The sequence below is a fragment of the Homo sapiens genome, chromosome 3 (assembly GCF_000001405.40).
Source record: "Homo sapiens chromosome 3, GRCh38.p14 Primary Assembly".
Taxonomy (NCBI): domain Eukaryota; kingdom Metazoa; phylum Chordata; class Mammalia; order Primates; family Hominidae; genus Homo; species Homo sapiens.
The window spans coordinates 68,997,648-69,023,322 of record NC_000003.12 but is presented as its reverse complement, the minus strand read 5'-3'; the positions used below and the strand labels follow the sequence as shown (position 1 = coordinate 69,023,322).

The 25,675-nt window shown below is 39.5% G+C and overlaps 2 protein-coding genes and 1 long non-coding RNA gene across 24 annotated transcripts in view, besides 3 other annotated features; 2 read left to right on the top strand and 1 right to left on the bottom strand.

Annotated features, from left to right (window-relative positions):
- TMF1 (TATA element modulatory factor 1) overlaps positions 1-3,496 on the top strand; it is a 32,507-nt gene extending 29,011 nt beyond the window's left edge. For both annotated transcript variants that reach the window (NM_007114.3, NM_001363879.1), the window contains exon 17: positions 3-3,496. In NM_007114.3, coding sequence (NP_009045.2) covers positions 3-146 — 144 coding nt within the window. In that variant the 3' untranslated portion in view covers positions 147-3,496. The remainder of the gene's footprint in view (positions 1-2) is intronic.
- EOGT-DT (EOGT divergent transcript) lies at positions 5,270-10,203 on the bottom strand. Its single transcript, NR_185971.1, has one exon. It is a non-coding gene; the product is annotated as an EOGT divergent transcript (long non-coding RNA).
- Positions 9,412-9,711: a silencer, noted in NCBI's record as "silent region_14515". NCBI's record gives its function as "represses an Ori minimal core promoter by ATAC-STARR-seq in GM12878 lymphoblastoid cells {active_cell/tissue: GM12878}" and the evidence as "EXISTENCE:reporter gene assay evidence [ECO:0000049][PMID:35858748]".
- Positions 9,639-25,675, top strand: part of EOGT (EGF domain specific O-linked N-acetylglucosamine transferase) — a 38,460-nt gene continuing 22,423 nt past the window's right edge. For 5 of the 21 annotated variants that reach the window (NM_173654.3, NM_001278689.2, XM_017006204.2 and 2 more), the window contains exons 1-10: positions 9,639-9,749; positions 10,524-10,808; positions 11,332-11,387; positions 13,463-13,686; positions 14,795-14,895; positions 15,502-15,610; positions 18,089-18,183; positions 18,841-18,945; positions 21,609-21,715; positions 25,209-25,312. In NM_173654.3, coding sequence (NP_775925.1) covers positions 13,477-13,686; positions 14,795-14,895; positions 15,502-15,610; positions 18,089-18,183; positions 18,841-18,945; positions 21,609-21,715; positions 25,209-25,312 — 831 coding nt within the window. In that variant the 5' untranslated portion in view covers positions 9,639-9,749; positions 10,524-10,808; positions 11,332-11,387; positions 13,463-13,476. Of the gene's footprint in view, positions 9,750-10,030; positions 10,333-10,523; positions 10,956-11,331; positions 11,388-13,462; positions 13,687-14,794; positions 14,896-15,501; positions 15,611-18,088; positions 18,184-18,840; positions 18,946-21,608; positions 21,716-25,208; positions 25,313-25,675 lie in introns of those variants that run through there. The other 16 variants (XM_017006205.2, XM_047448003.1, XM_011533602.2 and 13 more) reach the window with 12 other exon arrangements.
- Positions 9,772-10,321: a silencer, noted in NCBI's record as "silent region_14514". NCBI's record gives its function as "represses an Ori minimal core promoter by ATAC-STARR-seq in GM12878 lymphoblastoid cells {active_cell/tissue: GM12878}" and the evidence as "EXISTENCE:reporter gene assay evidence [ECO:0000049][PMID:35858748]".
- Positions 14,091-14,385: a silencer, noted in NCBI's record as "tiled region #589; K562 Repressive non-DNase unmatched - State 15:Elon". NCBI's record gives its function as "represses a minimal TATA promoter and a strong SV40 promoter by Sharpr-MPRA in K562 cells {active_cell/tissue: K562}" and the evidence as "EXISTENCE:reporter gene assay evidence [ECO:0000049][PMID:27701403]".

Sequence of the window (25,675 nt, the reverse complement as noted above, 5' to 3'; positions counted from 1 at the left end):
AGGATTTGGATCAAAGGTACAACACTATTCTGCAGATGTATGGAGAAAAAGCAGAAGAGGCAGAAGAACTTCGATTAGATCTCGAAGATGTAAAAAATATGTACAAAACTCAAATAGATGAACTTTTAAGACAAAGTCTCAGTTAACTTGTGAAAATTGAATTCCCATCAAACTGAATGTAAGCATTTAATATCTAAACATTTAATGTGGACTTCCAATAAATTCTTTTATAGAATTAGAAAGTGGGATTTACTGTAGAGTGTAAAAATTTTTTTAAAATTGTTTTACACTATGTAGTAATATTTACAGTTAAATTATTTTGTGCAATATTTGAACTTTATTTTTGAAACTATTCTTTAAAGATTTATTTTTTAAAGCATTCATTTTTTTTCCTTGAATAGCACAGAGATTTATTACTTTATCCTCATATAAATATGGCTAGAGAAGAAGAATGGTGTTCATATATGTATTGTAGATATACAACTAGTTGTATCTATAATTTGTAAGTGTTTATATATATATTAAGAACATTTGAAGAGTAATGTTAACATACTGAAACTTTGAAATCTTTCACATTTAAAATTTCAACATATCTTAATTACTGCTCATGAAAATGTACATTAAGTGTTAAAGTAAAAAATTATTAAATCTGTGGCTATTAAATTTTAAACTAATTTTTTTCCTTTAAAAGTAAGAGTCACACTGACACTGTCTGAAATTTAAAGAGTGAATGATTTAAACTTAAAAAAAATTTTGATCTGAAAATTTATTTCACCCAGCTTTCACAATTAAGTCTGTATAAAATGTGGTACCTTTTGGTACCTATCCAGAGAAACCTGTACATATTCAATGTTATCTAGATGTGATTGGATAATGGAGAAAATTTATTTATAATGATTTTGCAATGGCATCAATAACATTTAAATGATTTTGAAGAAGTATTATTTTACTACCCTATAAAATGAATCGAAAATAATAAAGTTCTTAACATAATTTACTCTTTAAAAATTACCTGTTCATATTTTGTAAACCCATATTTTTAGCACATTAAAAATGAATGTTTGATATTACAGAATATTCATAACAAAATGGAAGAATTATAGGAATTAACTTGAATTTGGCATTTTTAATTTTGTGATTTATCATTTTATTTTTTCTTGAAATTTCAAACACAAGGAAAGCATAGAATAGCTTTTAAAAGTAGCTATGCCTTCTTCCAAATGTTATTTTATTCAAAAAGGTAACCAGGTTGTGTTTTAAACCTGTGAAATATTGTGATGCATTTTATTACTGAAAGTTATTTAACTGCCTTTACTTGCACATAAAAACTCTCATTTACGGCCAGGTGCTGTGGCTCATGCCTGTAATCCCAGCACTTTGGGAGGCCAAGGCGGGCATATCACCTGATGTCAGGAGTTCAAGACCAGCATGGCCAGCAGTTTGGTGAAACCCCATCTCTACTAAAAATACAAAAATTAGCCTGGCGTGGTGGTGTGCGCCTGTAATCCTAGCTACTCGGGAGGCTGAGGCAGGAGCATTGCTTGAACCTGGGAGGTGGAGGTTACAATGAGCCAAGATTGTGCCACTGCACTCCAGCATGGGTGACAGAGAAAGACTCCGTCTCAAAAAAAAAAAAACAAACTCTTATTTAATTTTTAGTTAAAATTAAAACACTAGTACTTCAGAATATAGATACAAGTACACCATCTTGAAGAATTTGGAGTTTTTCAGGGCAATTCAAATGACCTCATTTTTTGTTCTTTTTGTATTCCAGACAGTGTTTCTGTCATTGGATCTCTGATTGGTAGTGTTAATAAATATTCTTTCAGTGTGAGCCAGATTCATAAAATTAATTTTCTTCATTTTAGTAGTAAAAAGTAGTCTAATAGCTTTTTGTCAGCTTGATTTTTTTGTGTGTGTAATATTCAAGGGCAGAATGACAGGACAGATAAGCAATAAGAAATGTATAGAATTAGAAAATATAGTAGTTCCCTCTTACCCATGGGACATACGTTCCAAGACCCCCAGTGAACGTCTGAAACCATGGATAGTATAGACACCTCTATACACTGTTTTTTCCTATACATATATACCTATGATAAAGTTCTATTTATAAATCAGGGACAGCAAGAGATAAACAATAACTGCAAATAGAACAATTATAACAGTGCACTGTAATAAAAGTGATGTAAATGTGATATGTCTGTCTCTTTCTCTCAAAATATCTTATTGTACTGTACTCACCTGTAATCAGACTGTGGTTGACCGTGAGTAACCGAAACCACAGAAAGCAAAATCGTGGATAAGGGGAGACTACTCTATATGAAACTTAAGTTACAAAATTCTCTGAAGCATTTGAAACTAGACGTTTTGGAATTATAAAATAGTCCCTTTAAAATATCCACTAGTAGAAAAAAACTTCATTTGCAGAGAAAAGATTGCAATAAAACTCATTCCTAAACTTTTCAATTTTATAAAATTAAACATTCTTTTTTTATCCGTATTAACAATTTCTAGTTACATAGTTTCTAGTTACATATTACCATATATTACTCTTTATCTACAAATAAATAGCTGATACTCAAACTGATCATATTTTGATTGTTAAACACTTGGATCTCTCAATACTTCTGTAAGTTAAAGTGAACTTAAACAGTTTCTTGAAAAACTCCAGTAGGTGGCAGAATACCTATTGAATATTCGTTGCTATACTTTGCTGTTTGTCATTAAAACATCTCTACCCATATTCTTGCAAAATAATATTTATATTTTAATGGATAGGAAAATGATTTGCAATTAGATGTTTCCATTCTTGAAAGAAAAAAGCTGCAAATAACATTTTCAAGAATATAAAAAAATGAGTAAACAAAGGGAAGGTTGTTTGGTCATTTATAGACAATTAAGCACAGACTGTAGATGTCCTTCCAATTCTTGGGAGGCTAAACTGAGTCTACCATTTCTTACATTTCTTTTACCTATTTTTTGAGAATTGCCAGTTGTACAGTGTTTAGCATGTGGAATGTACCAAATATATCTATGTTGTGACTTAAGATATTCTAAATGTGGATAACTTCTGACCTAGGAAACATGAAGTTTGTAGTGAAGTAAGTGAAAAGAATGTTCAGGAAATTTTTTTTCTCCATCTCTTCAGTTGGCATTTATTGAGAGTTTTATTTGAATGCTTATTAAAAGTATATGATTTATAATATTTAGAAAATAGAAGAAAAAAGAAAACTGTAGATGTTTTATCTTGTTTTAATACTGTATGTTTAGTACGTATACATTTATGTTCTAGTGTATCAAAATTTTTCATTTTCATTAAAGTGAATCCAATTTTCCATATTCTAGGTCCATTTTAAACCATGAAAACTTTAATCACATATTTTGTAAAGGGCTGAAAGTATGATTTAAACTACAGATTGATATATTTTAATTCTAAATGAAAGGTAATGTAAATAAGCATGGATCTGATTGAATAAAGATTTTAAAATAGTAATAGTGTATTTCATTTTTAACAAAATTTATAGTGGTCAATAGTAATGAGTGAAGAATGAATATTGTTTTATGAAAATATAACTTGTTTACATTTGAGATTAATATTTTAAGAAAATGAAGCCCTAATTTTCTATAAGTTACATTATTAGTATTAAGTGTAGTTTTTTTTTTTTTTTTTGACAGAGTCTCACTCTGTTGCCTGGGCTGGAGTGCAGTGGTGTGATCTCAGCTTACTGCAGCCTCTGCCTCCCAGGTTCAAGTGATCCTCCTGCCTTAGCCTCCCAAGTAGCTGGGATTACAGGTGCGCACCAGCACATCCGGCTAATTTTTGTATTTTTAGTAGAGATGGGTTTCACCATGTTGGCCAGGCTGGTTTCGAACTCAAGTGACCTGCCCACCTTGGCCTCCCAAAGTGCTGGGATTATAGGCATAAGCCACTGCGCCCGGCCCTAAGTTCATTATCTTCTAATGAAGATATGTTTTCGGAAAACACAGTGCTAAGAATTTACTTATAACTAGCTGGTAACTACTGTAAGGATAGTTTGTGTCAGTTTTTAATCTTAAGCAATATCAAGACATTCTTCTAAAAGTCTTATGTTTCTGTATTCAAGTAATAACAACAGTTAAAATAAGTTATCCTCTATTTCTGAGTTCATATTGCTTGGATTAAGCTCTGTAACCTTTAAAGTACTTTTAATCTGTTGCCTTTATACATACGCATTTTACCTTTTAGCAAATTAAGATCTTTTTGTAAGACAGACTGGAAATGAAATGTATTTCTCCTTAGTACTTAAATACCTTTTCTCAAAACAAAACAAAAAAACTCAAAATGCTTCAATAATTCACAAATACGGTAAAGAGAATTTACTCTTAGAACTGTCTGGAATTCCCCACACTGCCCTACTCCCAAGTAGCCTAAATTTAATATTTAGAATCGCAAATAACATTAAACAAGAACGTAATGGCAGGTTTTTCTGTTTGTTTAATATTAAACATTCTTCTTGCTTTTACAGGTATAGGCACAGCATGGTAGATAGAGGTATTCCTTCCATTTTTATAAAATGCCATGCTGATTTGTCTGTTTTAAAATTACAATCTTAATTTTTAAAAATATACGTTGTTCAAAAATCTGTGGTCAGGTTGGTAATAGGAAATATAGTCTTTTCTTCTTTTTTCTTTTTTTGGGAAACATAGTCTTATTTTGTTCCAAACACTGTGTAAGGAATTCACTTATGTAGGATTATAATCCCATAATCATTGTTCTGAAATCCACAAAGCTCTAAAAACCATACATATTTTAATACATTTGCTGTTAAATCTACTTCGGTGGTAAAGCCTGCACTGCACTGACATAGGGCTATGTATAGTCTTTAACTCATTTGGTGTGAATACTCATACATTTTGCTGCAGAAATACTGTGTGAGATTATGGGGTACTCACCCAGGACTCAGTGGGGGGGGGGGGGTATTAAGTTAAACGATGGGCATATCTATTCTATTTTTTAAAGTTCAGACACACACAGGGACCCAAGGATTTTGGAAAAGGAAGTGTGTACCCACACTTTATCATCAAGTCAACCTTTTAAAATGGATGCCATTATCACCCCCATTTTTAAAAATAAAGATTAAGTAAATTGCTCAAGGTCATATGGCAAGTAAGTGGCAAAGCTGGGATTCTAATTTGTGCAGTTTGGCTCCAGAGTCTATGATTTCAATAATTAATTATATGGTGCTACTTTTCCTACTGCTTTTCTGTAAAATCATAAGCATATAGATCAGTTACAGCCAAAATTTATTCATTAAAAATGTCAACACCTTTTAATTATGGTCTAACAGTTGGATGAGAGAACCAGTATACTACATTCTGCTGATATTGTTAGCAATTTACTCATTGTAATTTGTTGGATTTGTCTCAAATTTTTTAAGCCATGCATTCTTCCATCTCTGTCTCTCTTTTTCTTAATTCTTGCAATTTCGATGAAGTTTCTTATTTGTAGAAAAAACTAGGTCATTTGTCCTATAGTTTCCCTCCATCTGGATGTTGATTTCTTACCTTTTGTTAGTGTGTTCCGCCTCCTGTGTTTAAATCTAAAGGCAATTATTTTTCAACAAAAATACTTCATTAGGTGGAAGTGTATTCTTCCAGCAGGAGACAGATAATTCCTGATGGTTTCTCAGTTGTGATAAAGAAATAATTGATGATCACTTCTTAAATCTATTAGTTCACAGAGCTTGTGGAGTGATATTGTCATTTCTTTTTCATTTAGTAGTTGGAATGTTTCCATAAAAAATTTACTTCAGTTATTTTGTTATTTGCATCATAATTCATACAGGAAAGACAGTATAAATATTCCTGATTCTTTCCCTTTGTTTACCAGTTTTCAGAATAAGAGTTGGTTTCCTTCTGTCATTAAAAATGAACAGCGATACCTTTTTGGCTTGCATGTTTGGTTGATTGGTCGTGTCTGATATGATTACTTAAATGTATCTGTCCTTCATCCAATTACAGTTACCTTTATTTATGTTTTAAATCATCCTATCTTTGGCCAGTAGGAAGGTTTTCAAGGTGGATCCTGAGTCCTTTTGATATGACCCTAATAGCCTTTTGATTGCTTTGCTGCTTCCTGATGTAAGATGTTGCAGGCTTATCTTGTACATTTCCTGCTCCAGACCCAAGATCATCCATTGTTCTATGGAGTCAGTGTTTCTTTTAATGGGAAATGGTTGGTAGAGATCACAGTGTGAGCGCAAGGGGGTGCTTCTTCCTCCTGGGTAGCTTGTCTCTAGGCCTTTTCAATGGAGCACGTAGGAGAGATGTGTTTTTAAAGATTAACCATACTGTTAATCATACTGAGGCCTCCAACTGAAATTCAGAACTACAGGATGTTTATATAGCCTGATTAAGCTTTCATATTTCTATCTCATGTCAAAAATTTCAGCTTCAAAGGTACCATCATAATTACTTCAACTTGGTGTATCCCATAATACCAATATTGCCACCAACAATTTGGTTACGGAATGCAGTCTACAAAAGAGTTTTTTTGTACTTTAGTCCTGAGAATACATCCCACTAAGTATATACAAATTAAGTTTTAAAGTCACTTGGGATAGCTCCTCTGGGTGATATGCCACAATTGGAAAACATTTAGGTTCATTTAGTTTCATTTTACTTTCAAGGATTGCTTTTTAAAAACAGAATTTTGCTTTATAATGTAACATATTTACATGACTTCAAAGTCATGTCTTCACGCCAGGCGTGGTGGCTCACGCCTGTAATCCAAGCAGTTTGGGAGGCTGAGGTGGGCGGATCACTTGAGGTCAGGAGTTCGAGACCAGCCTGGCCAATACAGTGAAACCCCGTCTCTACTAAAAATATAAATATTTGTCAGGCATGGTGGCGCATGCCTGTAATCGCAGTTACTCAGGAGTCTGAGGGAGAAGAATTGCTTGAACCCAGGAGATGGAGGTTGCAGTGAGCCAAGATTGCACCATTGTACTCCAGCCTGGGCAAAAGAGTAAGACTCTGTCACACACACACACACACACATACACACACACACACACACACACACCAAAAAACAAAGTCATGTCTTCTTTGTTCCTTATACCCCTCCTCTTCCCTCCTTGCCCATATAGTCATTTTAAATGTTAATCTACTTGTAAAATAATAATTAGTAAATATATATGTGTATACACATGTATACACACATATTCCTCTTAGAAAAATGATATTTACATATTACATATCCTTTTCCCACTCAATATTCTGTAGTGTACAGAGATATTTCTCAATTCCTTTTTATGCATGCATAGTTTTACATTGTATGGATAAACCATAGTTTATTCAACCAGCCTTCTATTGGTAGACACTTGAGTTTTATGTCAGCTCAAAGAAAATTTAAATTCTAACATTGGTATTTTGGAGAGAAATTCTATTTGAGAATGGCTGTTACAGTAAGAGAGACTCAATCTCATGTTCAGGTTTATCATATCTGGTTTCCTGTAAGTCTGAATGACCATTCAATATGTAGGTGTTTAAAATAGCACCACATAGCCAGGCGTGGTGGCTCACAACTGTAAACCCAGCACTTTAGGAGGCCGAGGCTGGAAGATCACTTGAGGCCCGGAGTTGGAAACAAGTGCTGGGAACATAGCAAGAACCTGTTTCTACAAAAAAAATAAAATAAAATAGTACCATGCACATGTCATACTGATTTTAACCTTTTTGTATGTGACAAAAATAGGATGGTAGCAAGTAGGCTGAGGAAGCTTTTTTTTTTTTTTTTTATGAGACAGGGTCTCACTGTGGCCCAGGCTAGAGTGCAGTGTCTCAATCATGGCTCACTGCAGCCTCAACCTCACTGGGCTCAAGCGATCATCCTGAGTAGCTGGGACTACTGGCATGAGCCACAGTGCCTGGCTTGAGGAAGCATTTTAAAAAATTACTGTCATTAGTGTGGGATGGTGAAGTATGCAAAGTATAAAATAATAGAGCAGTAATTCTGTTATAGGAAAGGGGTCCCAATCCAGACCCCAAGAGAGGGTTCTTGGATCTCGAGCAAGAAAGAATTCAGGGCAAAGTGTAAGCAAGTTTGTTAAGAAAGTAAAGGAAAAAAAAAAAGAAAGTAAAGGAAGAAAAGAATGGCTACTCCATAGACAAAGCAGCCCTGAGTGCTGCTGGTTGCCCATTTTTATGGTTATTTCTTGATGATATGCTAAACAGGTGGATTATTCATGCCTCCCCTTTTAAGACCATATAGGGTAACTTCCTGACATTGCCATGGCATTCGTAAACTGTCATGGCGCTGATAGGAGTATAGTAGTAAGGACTACCAGAGGTCTCTTTCATGGCCATCTTGGTTTTGGTGGGATTTAGCCGGCTTATTTACTGCAACCTGTTTTATCAACAAGGTCTTTATGACCTGTATCTTGTGCCGACTTCCTATCTCATTCTGCGACTTAGAATGCTTTAACGGCCTGGGAATGCAGCCCAGTAGGTTTCAGCCTCATTTTACTCAGCTCCTATTTAAGATGGAGTTGCTCCGGTTCACATGCCTCTTGACAGTTCCCTTAGAGGCAAAATCTTTTCAATAAAAAGAATAAATTAATACTGTAAAGTGCTTTAAAACAATGTTTGGCACATGTTAAACACCACATGTTCTTGCTGTTATTATTTGAAAAAAATTCCAGGTAAGATTCCTAATTTAGCAGGTCACTAATGGAACTTGTAACAATTCTTAAACAACATTACTTTTAAAAATTACGTAAAAAGCATGTAAGCCTTTGGAAACAAACTTGTTTCCTTATGATCATATTATTTAACTTCTGGTGACTATATTCATTTGAGCATGTTTATTTTGAAGTCATCACCTTCATATAATCAGTTCAACTTTAGTCACTATTTAATGATCAACTCTACTGTGCTGTAGATGGAATACTAGGCCTGGGGGAGCTTAGAGGAAAAGACAGTGGGGGATGGGAGTTCAAATAATTATAAGCAGTAATAAAGTAAATTAACAAAACCATAAAAATTAAACTCCACAGAGTAGCATTTGAACTTGATGAGTTTACGGATAGGTAAAACTATACTGCTTTTAAAATGTGTGTGGACTCCAAAGTATCCTCACCATCACAAAGTGTATTCGGTGAACGATGTTCAGTCCCCAAATTTGGAAGTTAGGGCGGCAACTTCTGCTTGAAATAAGACAAAAGTAAAAATCCACCTCAGTGCAACGCAGAAGACACGAAGAGTCAGGTTTTCTACCCACCCCGTCCTAACATCCTCTGAGCGCTTTAACGCTCTCGCTCAAGGAGGCGCGGGCTGCTGCGATGGAGATGGGCGTCCGGCGCCGGCACGTGCCGTCGGTCTTTCCGGCCCTGGTGAGGGAGCTGGCGGACTCGCGCGAACGTTCGCGGGAGAACGCCAGGAAGGGCAGATGGTTCCTCGACTCTGAGCCCCTCCCTGCTGCGCTCGCCGGGTCGAGGCCGCTCGCCGGGCTGAAGCCGCTCCGAGCGTCGGGCCCCGCGCCCTGGCCCTCCTGGGTGTAGTCCCGGTCCTGCCTCTGCGGGGCCCGAGCCCGCCCACGGCGCCGGCTGGCCAAGGTGTCCCAGCTGCTCCTTGGCGCCCCCTGGCCCAGCTCCCGCGCCCGAGGTTTCCGGTGAGCGGCAGTAGCCGGTTATGACGACTCCCTCCTCTGGAACAGCCGCCGTCTCCTCCGCCTCCTCCTCGGTAGTTCACGGCTGCCCCGGCTCCAGGTGGGACTCCCCCGCAATCTGCGGAGCCTTCCCCCGCTCTCCTTCCCGCCGCCGCAGCGCTCTGCGCTGTTCTTGCCCGGGTGGTAGCCGCTCCCGGCGCGGCTTCCCGGAGGGCTATAGCCTACGCACGCACTCCGCCCGCGCCTTCCCATTCCCTGCGGGCCGGGAGGCGGGCGTCGGAAGCCGATCCTGGCCCTCCCCGGCCCCGGGCGCCCGGCCCCTTCCCAGCGCCCGGAGCGCAGGCGGGCCCCGGGCCCTAGCCGCGTTGACCAGGTTTCCAGCCGGGGCGGAGCCGCTCCCCGGGGCCCCTCCCAGGCGCGCTGGGGACCCGGGGCGCCGCGGTGCACGGTGGCGGGCGGCCCCGGGAGATCACCGACCCCGAAGCAATCCCTGGCGGCGCCCGGGGTCCGGAACCCCAGCGCGGCGTCTCAGCCGCGGCGGGGTGCTCGCCACTGACCCCTCAGCCCTTGGCCGGGACTGACGTTCAAGCGGACAGCTGGGCTCTGCCGGGACTGACGTTCAAGGGGCAGCCGAGCACTTCCTGAGCCCTGCCTGGCACCCGCCGAGAGACTTTTTGGCACAAGTAGGGGCCAGCCGTTGAGGTGTCATTCGGGGTCTCACGTGTTGAACTTTCCATTTGCCCACTGCCGTCTTTAAACTTTTCCAAGCTCTCTCTCTCTGCGACATTGCCCCATTTCGCCCGCTGTGTCAACCCCAGGTTTTGCCTCCTATCCATCATCTTTCAGATGTTTCCCTTTTTTCCTTCCTCATTAGGCCTGTGGAAATCGAATCAAGGGTTTCTGGAGTGGAGTGATTCCAGCTGCTTTGAGCTGAAGGAAAAGTAGCCTGGCCAGTAAAGCGTCCGTGTGCTGGAGGAGTGCAGCCACCCATCCCGGCGGGCCTTGCAGGACGACCGACACCAGGAAGGCTTTGTGCCAGGCCCAGCAGCCACCCCCAGCCGCCTTATGCAAGTGGGTACATGCCCTCGCCAGACGCCAGCTTTCTGATCTGCGTCTTTAGATTTTTTCCATCGCCTAAGCGTTACTTCTCCACTGATCGGTGAGTTTAGTGATGGCCAGAGCTCACTGGAGGACAATGGACTTGGATAACCAAAGGTCAGGGCTTGGTCATAACAATGACTTTATTACCGGGAAGGACGAGTCAAAAAATAGGAAGGCCTGGGAACCCTCAGGCTCGCCACTCTAGGTGGGTAGCCCTGTGATTCAGCCAGTGGGATTACTGCTGTGAGAATGGGAAAGTTGTTTGCTTCTGGGAATGTTTGATCCACTAAGTATCCTGTTGGCCAGTTCCAGTGGATGCCTGTAGAAAGTGGGCCACCTCCTCCCGTTCCCCATTGGAATCTGGTCCGAGTTGCTGTGTTGGGGGTGGTGCCTGTGAACTCGAGTATAGCAGTGTGGTATTCATTAAGGAAAAGAAAGCGCACCACCGGCCAGGCCTTCTGGCTGAGAGTTATCACGTTACATTATTTTCTTTCTTAATATTTCCTTTAATTCACAACATCATCTGAATGATCAGGTTTACTTTAGCATCCTTTTAAGGTAATATGTTTCATTTCTGACAGGTTTTAGAGACCTGAAACATCACAGAAGCTTCTGAGTGGTTCTGAAGATTCAAGAGGTATATATTTTTATTACAAGTAGAGTCATTGTTACTATTAATATGTGTTTTTAAATTTTTATAAAACTGCTGTCAACTCATTCTTGGATAAAAGCTCCAAGTGAAAATGTTATTGTAATTCAGATCAGATTTACAGCAGATAACACCATACTCTTGAGGGCCGCCAAAGTGAAAAACCACAATACTTAACTACTCCAAGGGGGGAAAATGGGGGAAAAAGGATTCCTTTTTGGTGTCCCCACTGTTCACTTAGAATTCCATGGCCTTGGAACTTGAGGTTTGATGGAACATAGCAGTCAATTTCCTTTTCTTCTTTCTTTCTTTGTTTTTTTTTTTTTTTGAGACAGAGTCTCCCTCGCATTACCCAGGCTGGAGTGCAGTGGCGAGATCACGACTCACTGCATCCTTGACTTCCCAGGCTAAAGTGATCCTCCCACTTCAGCTGGGACTACAGCTGATTTTTTGTATTCTTAGCAGAGACCGGGTTTCATCACGTTGCCCAAGCTGGTCTCGAACTCAGGGACTCAAGCAATCTGCCAGTCTTGGCCTCCCAAAGTGCTACTATTACAGGCCTGCAGTCTGTTTCTAAAGGTTCCATCTTCACAGCCCATAATCAATGAAGACTGATTTCGAAAGTTGGGTTTTCCGGTATGACCCAGGAAACAGCAGTCCTAGCTGATGAACATCCAGTGTGTATTAAGACTCTGTCATCCAGTGGAAAGAGCACTTAAAAAAAAAAAAAGAACAAAGATCCCACTAAAGTGACCTGAGAATGGCAGGATCATTGTCTGGGATATATAGGAGAAATCTGGTCCAAGAGATTTAACACTTACTGGGTGAATTAGAAATGCAGTGAGGTTTCTGACCATTATCACTGTTCACAATGTAAAGGCATGATGGGAGAGCTTAAGGGCACAGTCTTTGAGGCAGACTGCTTAGTGTCCTGGAGTTTCTAAGTCTTAGCTATTATAGCTGATTATTATACCTACTAGCATGTAAGCTTCACAAGGGCAATGAGTTTAGTTCGTGACTGCACCTTCATTGCTGTATCCTGAGTACAGAAGCGCTCCTGGAACATTGTCTGTGCTCATACCTTGATTATGATTATAATTTTTTATTCAGCAGACACACACTTGCTCAGAGCCATCCCACTCCCTTTGCTCTCTCACAGATACTTTTCCCCTCCTCATCATTCAGATCTCAGCTTTAATGTTATTTAGGCCCCTTCTCTGCCCCACATGGCTTTAAACTTTTATTTAATAAACATTTCCATAGCATTTAGCATGTGCCAGATAGTTTTCGAAACACTTTACCAATAACTAACTCATTTAACTCATGACAGCTCTATGATGAAGGTTTATTATTATTTCCATTTTACAGATGGGAAAGCTTAGGTGCAGAAAGGTTAAGTAACTTGTTCCAGGTCTTACAGCTGGGAAGCTGCAGATTTGCGATTCAAATCCAGGTGGTTAAGCTTTAAATGTTCACCATGCTATGTTGTCTATCATATTACTTTATTTAGTTTCAGGTATCACTAAACTGGATCCTATCAAGCCCTTCCATAATTTTTGTAAGTTAAAAAGTTTTATTGGAACACAGCCTCATCCATTCTTTTATAATAGACCATGGCTACTTTTTTGGACAGAGGCATTGTTGTGTAGTTGCCACAGAGATCTTATGTCTGGCAAAGCCAAAAATATTTACTGCTTCTCCTTTACAGGAAAAGTTTGCTGGCCCCTAGTTGGTTTGATTCACAGGCCCAGTCATCAGCTGAAGTTGTTTATTTGATTGCTTGTTTATGACAGTTGTAGTAGGTTTAAAGGCACCATGAGAGCAAGGCTCTTTCTTGTTTTGTTCACCTCTGTATACCCATTTGCTAACGTGGTGCCTGGCACCAAGCAAGTGCTCAAAAAAAATTGAATAAAGGATCATTATTCAGTGGGATAGCAAAGTGCTTTGTAATTATACTTAGCCCTTGACCCTTTGTTTTTTTTTTTTTTTTGTTGTTGTTGTTGTTGTTGTTTTGGCTTTTAAAGGAAATTTGTTAACAAAGTTGTCTTCATTTTGATCTCTAGGTTTGCAGGTTGCTATGTTAATGTTGTTTGTCTTTGGAGTCTTACTTCATGAAGTCTCACTGAGTGGTCAGAATGAAGCTCCTCCTAATACTCACAGCATTCCAGGCGAACCTCTGTATAACTATGCCAGCATCCGCTTGCCAGAGGAGCACATTCCCTTCTTTTTGCACAACAATAGGCATATTGCCACTGTCTGTAGGAAAGACTCTCTTTGTCCATATAAGGTAGGTATTATTTCTTTTCTCCTTATTTTTATGAGGATGCAATTTCAGCTGGCTTACAGGTTCTGCTTTATAACCTGAAACTGAAGGCAGAATTCTAATTTTCGGTTGTCACTGTATAAGTTAATCATTGTTTCATATAATACTTCTAAGTGACTAAACTGCTTAAAATTATGTCCCATTCATAAGAGAGAAATTTAAAATCTAAATCACTTCTAAAACAAATAAGTAGCCAATACTATTTGTAAACTCTGTAAAGAAGCAATTAGATTTTATGCAGGAAAGAACATCTTGTTAAAAGTAACTAAAGAATTTCACACCTCTTCTTTCTTAAACGGCACATGAGAGGATCGGTTAGCACTTAATTTCAGTAATAACACCTCAGCCTCTGTCTCCACATAATTAAGCCTGTTACTGTGGCTTTCTTTCTGTTTTAGAGGAGTTGGAAAGGCCTCAAATAGGAGCCCATTAAGACATCTCACAGGGCCCCAGAGATCAAAGCTGGGCATTGTGAGACACTTCCTTTCCCATGGTGCTGGCACAGGAAGCATATGGAAAAGCAGACTTGGGAATCAGACCAGCATTGCTCCTGGGGCCTTGCAGAAGAGCATTCTCAACTCCTTGGCCAGCAGCAGCTGGGTGGTTCCCAAGGGTGGCAGAGTTGTCCATGTGTTGTGGGGTCTCTGCTGATCTTGATTGCTAAGTGAAGTTGCTGATTGATTCAGTTTAGCTGTGATTCCTTTGGTAGCACAAATTCCAGTTTATATGTCTTTTAGGGACTGATTTTAGAATCCGCTTGCTCACTGAGAAAGGTGGTTTCTTAAGCTACTTCAAGAAATTCAAATTCAAGTGGTCTTTGAGCGTCTAGGTAAAGCCCAGACTTTCGGTTAGGGGACCGATATGGTGGGGGTGATGAGTAAGGAGGATTGTTAAGAACCTTGAGACTGCTCTTTTTAGAATTAACTGTAAGTTTTAAATTTATTGTTATAAGAATACGTATTATAAATGTAAATGTGAATGCTCTATAATGATTTGTTTTCTTAATGGAAAAATCTAAGAGTCTTCTCTAAATGTCAGAAGAAGGGAAATCAATGTAAGTTTTATGTTCTAGAAACACCTAGAGAAGCTAAAGTACTGCTGGGGTTATGAGAAATCCTGCAAACCAGAGTTCAGGTTTGGTTACCCAGTTTGCAGCTATGTCGACATGGGATGGTAAGTTTCCATATGGAATACCCTCTTCAAGTCTTCCTCTTTCTATACAGTGTATGTTGATGCCCTAATTTCCAGCTAGATTCTTTTGGTTTTAGATAGTAATTCATTTAGATATTAATTTGCTTGCACAGTCATGAATTCAACTTGACTATTTCATACTGGGATAGGAATATCTGTCATTTCCTCTGCCAGAGGGAGAAACAGCCAGGACCATAGATAATTTTTTCCCCCAGTGTATAGTAAGAAGATAAATGGATGGTTTCTTCTTGATTCTTCCTGGGAGAATTAAGTATAATTAGTACTTCCAATACATGCAATGTTAATGAGGTAAAGAAAATATAGTAATTAAGAATGCATCATTGGCTTCAGTTTCAGGTGATAACTTCATACATGTCTGTTATGTATTTTATGATAAAGGAATAATTCTGTGAATAACTTAGTTTCGTAACTTCATGTAGTGAGGCGTAGTTTTGGAAAAACTATGATAATATACTGTAACAAAATTAAAGTAATAAGGAACCTCTAGCATTTTAACCTTTAGAATGAAAATTCAAGGTCCAAAAAAGTAAAAAGAAAAAAACACAGAATATTTTTATTTGCAAATAGGACGGACACTCTTGAGTCAGCTGAGGACATATTTTGGAAACAAGCTGACTTTGGATATGCCAGAGAGAGGCTGGAGGAGATGCATGTGCTCTGTCAGCCTAAGGAAACGGTGGGTATTTTGCTCCTTACTAAATAAACTTGTTTATTTAATTTTAATTTTATTTATTTTTGAGACGGAGTTTCTGTCTATTGCCCTGGCTGGAGTGCAGTGGCGCGATCCCAGCTCACTGCAACCTCTGCCTCCCAGGTTCAAGGAATTCTCCTGCTTCAGCCTCCTGAGTAGCTTGGATTACAGGCGCGTGCCACCCCCCCCCGCTAATTTTTATATTTTTAGTAAAGGTGGGGTTTCGCCATGTTGCCAGGCTGATCGCGAACTCCTGACCTCAAGGGATCCACCCACCTCAGCCTCCCAAAGTGCTGGGATTACAGGCGTGAGCCACTGTGCCCAACTAAGCTATTTTATTTTTATTACTTATTATTGATTTTTAATATTTATCATTTAGCTTGTAATGTAAAAACAAGATAGACGGCACTATGAAAGGAATTCCTCACTCTCACTTAGTTATTGGCATAGAATTTTATGTAACTTCCCCAAATAGGTTGTTTTCTTTCCTTTGGAAACCCTGTCCTCCTTATCCCACATTTATCAGATAGTCATATTTTAAGACAGTCGAAATATTTTTAGGTTTAGAATCATTCCCCCAAACATGTGCTAATGAAGAGAAATTGATAAACTGCGTCTTTACAAATTCATTCTCAGATAGTTTGGGACAGATGATATAACACCACCATACTGCTCTATATTTGCCCAGAGCTTTACAGTTTGCAGAAAGCTTTTCTGTGTGTTATCTCGTTTGATGCTTATAAGCGTTATAGCAGATACTACTGATGCCACTTTATCAGTATGGAAAACAGGGTCCTCAGAGGAGTTAAGCAACTTCTCCAAGACTGCACAGCTACCTTTTAAAATTAATTACACATCTAGGATTAAAATGCAGGTTTTTTTCCAGTTTACTTTCAACCATACCATATCGTACCTCAGTGGATCAGATAAACACGTTGTCAAGAGGTGGTTTGGGGTAGTAAATACAAGAGCAGGCTCTCAACTACAATTCAGATCCTGAGTCTTAGACAAGGTACTTAGGCTTTCCTTGTTTCAATTTCCTCTGCCTTAAAGCCATGCCCATTATGTAGCATATGGTAAGGAAGAAATGAGGTTCTGCAGATAAAAATGCTCAGTGCAGCAGGGCCTGGTTCCCGGCCAAGGGCTCAGCATTATTTTTTAAAGGTTGATGAAGTTGTAAGCACTTACGATTAAGGTACACTGTTCAATGATCCTGAACCCTGAGTCTCTGACATCTCAGGGGTCTCCGATCTCCAACCACACTGGAGAACTAAAAAAATTTTTTAATTTACTCACATTCAAAAACTGAGTATATACTTTATAGAGCTATTGGAGGGTGTCACGTAATAGAGCTTTGAGCATTCTAGCAAGGTGAATGAGGCCTCAGGATGTGAGGCATGCCATTAAACTGCACGGCCGCAGGGTGTCTTTAACAGAGTTCTGTTCTGTCTTGCACATTTGGCTCAAGTCTAGCTGTTCACATGGAAAGGGCAAGATAATAATGACAACCCCTATCTTGCACTCCTCTTTCAAGGTGGCTTGTAGAATGTTCTTTTGATTAAGATTTACCTTGATTTGCTTTGTGCTAGCAGAGTATGATCCTTGTCTTAGTTGTTTGGGCTGTTATAACAAAATACCATAGACTGGGTAGCTTCTAAACAATATCATCACATTGGGGGTTAGAATTTCAACATATGAATTTGGCAGAGACACGGACATTCAGTCCATTGCAATATTTTACCAACTACAGACTCCAAAACACCATGCAGGTCAAGATTGAGACTTTGTGTTCATTGGGAGTTTTGGGAAAAACAATTAAAATGGCATTTAAATCTATAAATAAAACCCAGAGCAGATAAAAGTTTTTGAAGTTCTGAGCATAACCCAGATTGGTTGAAATAGAATCAGGCTCTGGTAGCTGACTCTTCGACTCCTTTCTTCAATTATTTAGAAAATATTGCCCTCATGTTGCTGTTGAGACAGAGGCTCCCACAAGCTTTACGGTTTGCAGAAAGCACCTCTTATTAAAACTGGCAAACTTCCCTCCCTGCTTTTAATGTCTCTTACATGTGCATTTTTCCTTGTTTCTTTTGGCTTTTGGAAGCTGCTTTTTCATATAGCTGTGGGGGTAGTAGTACTGGATCTGGGTACTTTTTTTTTCTTTTAAAGGGGACTGAACTGAGCCACATATACAGCTCTTGGCTTTAAAATTTGAGGTGACAGATCGTTGGGGAGTTTTCCATGGTAACTTAAAAGTGGGAAACTGGCAAAAGTATGCTTGGCCAGGGTCTGCTGGGAAGGAGAAAATATCCTTCAGCAGATGCAGTCTTTGGAGAGCTTTCCTTGTCATGTTGTGTGGTTTGAATGTGAGGGTATCCGTGCTGTCAGTGTGTCTAGCAAGTCCGGATGAGTCTTTGCTGTGTTAATACTCAGAGTCATTCTTTTCTTTTGCTCAACCTTCAGAGTGACTCAAGTCTGGTGTGTTCCCGTTATCTTCAGTACTGCAGAGCAACCAATCTCTATCTTGATTTAAGAAACATCAAGAGAAATCATGACAGGTACTTTAGTGGTTAATGTTAACATCTAGTATAAATTCTGAAATATTTTCAGATCCAGGGATTTTTTTTTTTTTTTTTGAGACAGGGTCTTGCTCTGTTGCCCAGGCTGGAGTGCAGCGGTGTAATCATGGCTCAGTGCAGCTGTGACCTCCCAAACCCAAGTGATCCTCCCACTTGAGCCTCTCAAGTAGCTGGGATACAGAAGCGCACCGCCAGGCTTGGCTAATTTTTTAATTTTTGAAGAGATGGGGTCTTCTAACGTTGCCCAGGCGGGTCTCAAACTCCTGAGTTCAGGTGATCCTCTCACCTCAGCCTCCCAAAGTGCTGGGATTATAGGTGTGAGCCACCAAGCCTTGCTGAAGGGGTATATCTTGAATTTGTTTTTGATGATATGGCAGAGGGGTTGGGGAATGGGTGGGGGGATGGATGACTCAGACAGGCCATGAGTTAATCGCATTGCAAAGTTGGGTTGTGGATACATTAGGGTCCTGATAGGATTCTGTTACTTTCATATACACTTGAAATTTTCTATTGTAAATAGTTAAATTCTTTTAAAAAATTCAGTTTGGAAATTGGTAATCCACTTTAGTTACAACCCACGTGCTTGGGTCATGAAGACGTTTTCTGAACTTAACTTAATGTTTTGTTATATACCAGATTTAAGGAGGACTTTTTCCAGAGTGGTGAAATTGGAGGGCACTGTAAACTTGACATCCGTACATTGACGTCTGAAGGTCAGCGCAAAAGCCCTCTGCAGTCATGGTAAGATATTTTTAACGTATCTGTTTCGGAAATATTTGCCTTTATTTACGGCACTTGCAGATATTAATGGAGACTCTCAAATGGAAAATGTTACTTCATTTGTACATAATTTGGCATGAGCTTCTGGGAAGTGACGGAAACCGAGTGAATCCCTCAGTTGCATCTGAATTAAGTATGTGTTTATAATAGTAGATACAGTACTTACTGTTTGCTAATGAAAGAAAAAAATCAGCTTAAAAATCCATTTTTATTAACTCACAATTGCCAAGTTTTATTCACTTACAAAGTCACATAGGTTACTTACATAATGTTAATTTTTGAGGTCAAACGTCCATGCCAAGGCCAGGAATGGTGGCTCATGCCTATAATCTCAGCACTTTGGAAGGCCAAGGTAGAAGTATTACTTGAGCCCAGGAGTTCAAGGCCAGCCTGGGCAATATGATGAGACCTCAAATCTAAAAAATAAAAATGTGTTTTGGGGAACCCATTTAAAAAACAATACACATATATTAAAGTATGTAAAAGCATACAGAAAAAGGTACAGTTTGGATTGTGAAAAAGTGAACCCACCCATGTAACTTTTACCCAGGTCCAAAAATAGAACATTGTCAGCACCTCAGTCTCCCTCCCAGGCTCTACCCCCATCCCCCTCTCCAAAGGTAGATGCTACTCTGACTGTTAACATCATTGGCCAGCTTTTTGAATTTAAAAAGTTTGTATTTTAAAATAATTTTAGACTCATAGAAGTTTAAAAATAGTATGTATTATACCCAAGACTGACTAACTTACAAAGGAAAGAGGTTTAATGGACTCATGGTTCCTCATGGCTGGGGAGGCCTCACAATCATGGTAGAAGGCAAAGGAGGAACAAAGGCACGTCTTACATGACAGCAGACAAGAGAGCGTGTGCAGAGGGAACTGCCCTTTATAAAACTATCAGATCTTGAGAACAGCGCAGGAAAAACCCACCCCCATGATTCAGTTACCTCCCACCGGGTGCCTCCCATGATGGGAGCTACAATTCAAGATGAGATCTGGGTGGAGACACAGCCAAACCATATCATACTACAAGGAGAACTTGTACGTTGTCTAATTCCCTGAGCTTCCTCTAATGATAATATCTCATATAACCATGGCACAATGATCACAACCATGAAATTGACATTGGTACAGTAGTATTAACTTGTGCAGGTTTTACCAGCAATTACCTGTACTCATTAAAATTTTATCACTTGTGTAGGTGCGGGTATGTAGGTAGGGAGAGAGAGGGGGAGGAGGACGGGGAGGGCGACCACCACAATCAGGATGCAGAATTGTTCCATCATCCCAAAGAAACTCTCCTGCTACTCCTGTATAGTCACATAGGTTACTTACATAATGTTAATTTGTAAGGTCAAATGTCCATACCAAGGCCAGGAATGGCGGCTCATGCCTATAATCACAGCACTTTGGGAGGCCAAGGCAGAAGTATTACTTGAAGCCAGGAGTTCAAGACCAGCCTGAGCAACATGATGAGACCTCATCTCTAAAAAAGAAAAATAAAAAATAAAAATAAATTAGCTGGGCGAGATGGCATGCCCCTGTAATCCTAGCTACTTGGGAGGCTGAGGCGGGAGGACTGCTTGAGCTCAGGAGGTCGAGGCTGCAGTGAGCTATGATTGCACCACTGCACTCCAGCCTGGGCGATGGATCAAGACCCTGTCTCAAAAAAAAAAAGAAATTCATGCTGAGCAAACCTTTTTTTTTTTTGTCCTTAAAGAGGCCTCACTGCCTGGCTGCAGATCATTCAGAATAATGATCTACCACACATTTATCTGGGATTTTGCAGTCTGCAATGCAATGTCTCAAGTCACTTAGCAGACTTTTACAAGAGGTAGTTTCTATATTCAAGTGGGCTTTTTGATTCCTGGTACTTTCTGATATTTGATTCCACATGGTAGTTGCTCAGGGCATAATTGTATTAGTTGCTTATTGCTGTGTGACAGGCTATTCCAAAGTGTACCCTAGGGTATATTTATATTTATTACCTATTGTTGTATAACAAATGACTCTAAAATTTAGCAGCTTAAAATACAAACATTTATTATCTCACAGTACTTCTGAGGGTCAGGGTTTGGGAGCAGCTTGGCTGAGTTGGCCAGGGCTGTAGCCATCTCTAGACTCAACCTGGGCCTGGAGAATCTGCTGCTAAACTCACTCAGGTTGTTGTAAGCCTCGGCTCCTTTTGGCACCATCTCGGCTCACTGCAACCTCTGCCTCCCAGGTTCAAGCGATTCTCCTGCTTCGGGCTCCTGAAAATGGCTGGGACTAAAGGCGCTCGCCACTACGCCCAGCTAATTTTTGTATTTTTAGTAGAGATGGGGTTTCACCGTGTTGACCAGGATGGTCTTGATCTCCTGACCTCGTGATCTGACTGCCTCTGCCTCCCAAAGTGCTGGGATTACAGGTTTGAGCCACTGCACCCGGTCTGTTCCTTGTCTTAACATTAAAATTGATATCAACCTATATAAAAGTCAGTAAGTTTTAGAAGTTACAGGTGTCCATAGGAGTGTCTGTACCATTTAGAGGTAAAATCTGCCTAATGAACAGATCCTAAGTTACAGTGTTCTAATAGGAAGTTTGGGAGAATCAGTTTGAAGTCATGTCCCAATTCATAATTTCAGGTTTGCTGAGCTACAAAGCTATACTCAGCTCAACTTCAGACCTATAGAAGATGCTAAATGTGACATTGTCATTGAAAAACCAACATATTTCATGAAATTAGATGCAGGTGAGAAATAACTTTTTCTGTTATTTGTGTATTTGTTAATGAGATATTATTCCTTTTTTTGGATGTAGTAATTCTCTCTGAATTTTTTGGAAGCAGTATGACAAACAGTAGATTTGTTTTTTTTGCTTTCTTCTCTGAAGAAGTAGTTGAACTAATTTGAACTTCCCATTATTTTATAACTTGGGCATTTTAGAAGAAACTTTCACATTTATATCAAAGGACTTAACCAAAATCAAAGGACGAGAGGTGAAGGCATATTTATGCCTTTTGTAACTAAATTTACCTCATCTGGTTTCTCTAATCACTTGGTTTAGATTGTCTTTCATTAAGATGTTTAAAATCAAAAGCTAAGCCGGGCGCGGTGGCTCACACCTGTAATCCCAGCACTGTGGGAGGCCGAGGCAGGCAGATCACGAGGTCAGGAGATCGAGACCATCCTGGCCAACATGGTGAAACCTCGTCTCTACTAAAAAAACACAAAAAATTAGCTGGGCGTGGTGGCAGGCACCTATAGTCCCAGCTACTCGGGAGGTTGAAGCGGGGGAATCGCTTGAACCCAGGAGGCAGAGGTTGCAGTGAGCCAAGATCGTGCCGCTGCACTCCAGCCTGGTGACAGAGCAAGACTCCGTCTTAAAAAAAAAAAAAAAAAATCAAAAGCCATGTGTATAGTATGGGTGGGAAAGAAGTGTCCATGACCTGCGCTGACAAACTTTCTGTATCATTTCCATGACTAAAGTGAACTTAAAATTCTTCTGGAAGTTACCAGTGTAATTTATTCTTGACATAAAATTAAAATTATTTTATCATTTATACTTATAGCCTCTTTCTCAGCTTGCAAGCAGAGCTTTAACTTTGCGAACTAGTTACACTGGGGAGGAGAAACACAGATTGTACTATATTATCTCTTTCATTATGAGAGACAGGGATTACTGTGCTAGATCATATCAAAATTCATGAGAGGTTGGGTTTACAGTGAAATATAGAGAGCCTCTGTCACAAATATTTCAGAATTAGTATAATTTATTGATCATAGTTTTAATGTGCTCTGCCTTCTGAAGTCATAGTTCTTATATTACAAAGTATTAAATTCAGAAATCAGACAAGTTTAGGTTTTTGAAATAAAAGCGAGTAAAAATGCTATGTTCCAGGTTTTGACTCGTTTTTAAAACATGCAAATTAAAAAGGGGCAAAGAAAACACTGATCCGTCTGTAAAAGTGGCAAATATGTGTGAGCTATTAAATTTATGCAGATACTTATACAATAAAGTATATAAAGTGAGAATAATAGGCTAGAGTAGACATGTCTCATTTCTTTCCTATATTCATAACTCTACTTTTTTCTTCTAATTTATGCTGTCTTCCAATTTTACTTTTCTTTCTTTAGAGACAGGTCTTGCTCTGTTGCCCAGGCTGGAGTACAGTGGCATGATCACAGCTCATTGCAGCCTCAACTTCCTGGGCTCAAGTGATTCTCCCACCTTGGCCTGCCAAGTAGCTGGGACTACAGGCATATGCACCACCATGCCTGGCTAATTTTTAACATATGTTTTGTAGAGATGGGGTCTCATGGATTGCTCAGACTGGTCTTGAACTCCTGGGCTCAAGTGATCCCCCTGCCTTGGCCTCCAAAAGTTCTGGGATTACAGGTGTGAGTAACTGTGCCTGGTTCAGTTTTCCTTTTCATGTTAACTTGTACCTTAGGGAAATGAACATTCTACAGATCAGGACTCATTAGGGGGCACATTTCTCAAGGATGGAGCTTATGTTTTCTTCTCTGTTTATAAATTCTTGCAACCCCAAGCACTGATTTGTGCTTGCTGCATTCCTCAGTAACTGTTAGGAACTCACTAAATGTTACGTGAAAGAGCTCATGTGTGCTCTATGGCTAACCTGGGAAAAGAGGATAGATTCTGATAGAACTTTATTTTTCTTGTTAATTTGAAAATATATTCTTTGCCAAGATTTTTCTGGGTGAAAAAATTAGCCCTTCCAAACAATCAGCTAAGATACGAGGCTGAAAAAAACAGAGTATTTTTATACTGTTATTTCTGGCACACAATGTTATTATTCACTGTGGGAATGAAGTCAGAATATTTTATGATTTCTGCATTTGAGAGTCCCTGTTTTTCTTTTACTCAGCATTTTCCTACCTTTAAAATGCATGCTCTAAGTGTCAGTTCTTGGAATTTCATCCCATTTAGATTTGTATATTTCCAGGATGAATATTGGGTCCTGCATACCTAAGTGGAGAGGGTGCACATTCTGTTTCTTTTTAATGAATGGCATGTGAACTTACAAATAGTAGTTCCCACAACCCTCTCCACTCTATCTGACCTAGTGGGATCCAGCTAGTCTTCATTCAGGTCTTCCTATGTGCCTGGCACTGGGATGGGTACTTTAAGATGTATTATCTTTGGGTTTCTCATAATAAAGCTGGCACTTAGGTAACTATTTCCCATTTCTATAGAGAAGCTAAAGCTTAGGGACTTTATAAACTCATCTAAGAATGTTGCGCATGCTTGGCTGTGCTGGAATTCAACTTCTTCTTTCTCCAGAATTGCTTCTCTTTCAATCAGAACACAAGACATTCACTTCTTTTATATGATAGTTGGTTAATGTTTTTCCAGGAATGATACATGTAATGATTAAATAGGGAAAAAAGAGACAGGAATGAAAATTACCAAAATGTTAGTTGCCATCATTGCCAGTACTTCCCTGATGAACAGATGTTTCTTAATTGATTTTTTTTTTTCTGGTTTTTTTTTTTTTTTTAGACAGAGTCTCACTCTGTTGCTCAGACTGGAGTGCAGTGGTGTGATCTTGGTTCACTGCAGCCTCCACCTCCCAGGTTCAAGCAAATTCTCCTGCCTCAGCCTCCTGAGTGGCTAACCACGCCTGCCTAATTTTTGTATTTTTAGTAGAGATGGGATTTCACTATGTTGGCCAGGCTGTTCTCAAACTCCTGGTCTCAAGTGATTGGCCTGCCTCAGCCTCCCAAAGTGCTGTGATTACAGGTGTGAGCCACTGTGCCTGGCCCCTTAATTGACTTTAAAAAACAACTGATCAAGCTAGGCATGGTGGCACATGCCACCATAGCAAGACCCCACCCCTGATTAAAAAAATAAATAAAGTCAGAAGAAATAATGGTTTGTCTTCATGGCCCTGTAGTTCTACTCAGTTTTGAGTTAAATAGACCTACCTTGTTTTTTTCTGGGAACTTAATGATCACTTGTTACTTGGGATATATGGGAAAATGCATTCCTGATTTTAAATAACCAATTTTAGAGTGACTTTTGAAACCCAGGCAGTCCATAAATTGAGGACTACCTATGTATCTAGATCATTTCATGTTTGGAAAAACAAAACAGTTATTTTTTTCCCCATTTATTTAAACTAAAATTCTCTTAAACTGTAAATAGATGGGATAGAATAAAACTTGCTTGATCATGTGCTCTTTGGTGTTAATTAATGTAGTTTCATTTTCCAACACTAGGTGTTAACATGTATCACCACTTCTGTGATTTCATCAATCTTTATATTACTCAGCACGTTAATAACTCATTCAGTACTGACGTGTACATCGTGATGTGGGACACCGTAAGTAAGAATGTGCTCTCCGCTTCAGTACTGTCTTTCCCTTGTATCAGTGTGTGACTCTGATGTTGTGAAACAGAATTTTCAAAGACACATATATTTCAACATGTACAGCCGCACATAATGCGGATGGGTGCGAATGTATCTGTACATATATGTGTTGACATGTGCATATACGTATAGGCAGATAGGTATGTATGTGTGTACCTTCATTCTTTGAATTTTAGAATGAGGCAGTGGGGAAGGTTTCTTTCTCTTTCTGGGTGGGTGGAGCTCCAAAGGCCAGAGATTCAGTGACTTTGGCTTAGTGTTCCTCTGGGACACACATATGAAAGACTGCCATTCAGCAGGGCGTGGTGGCTCACG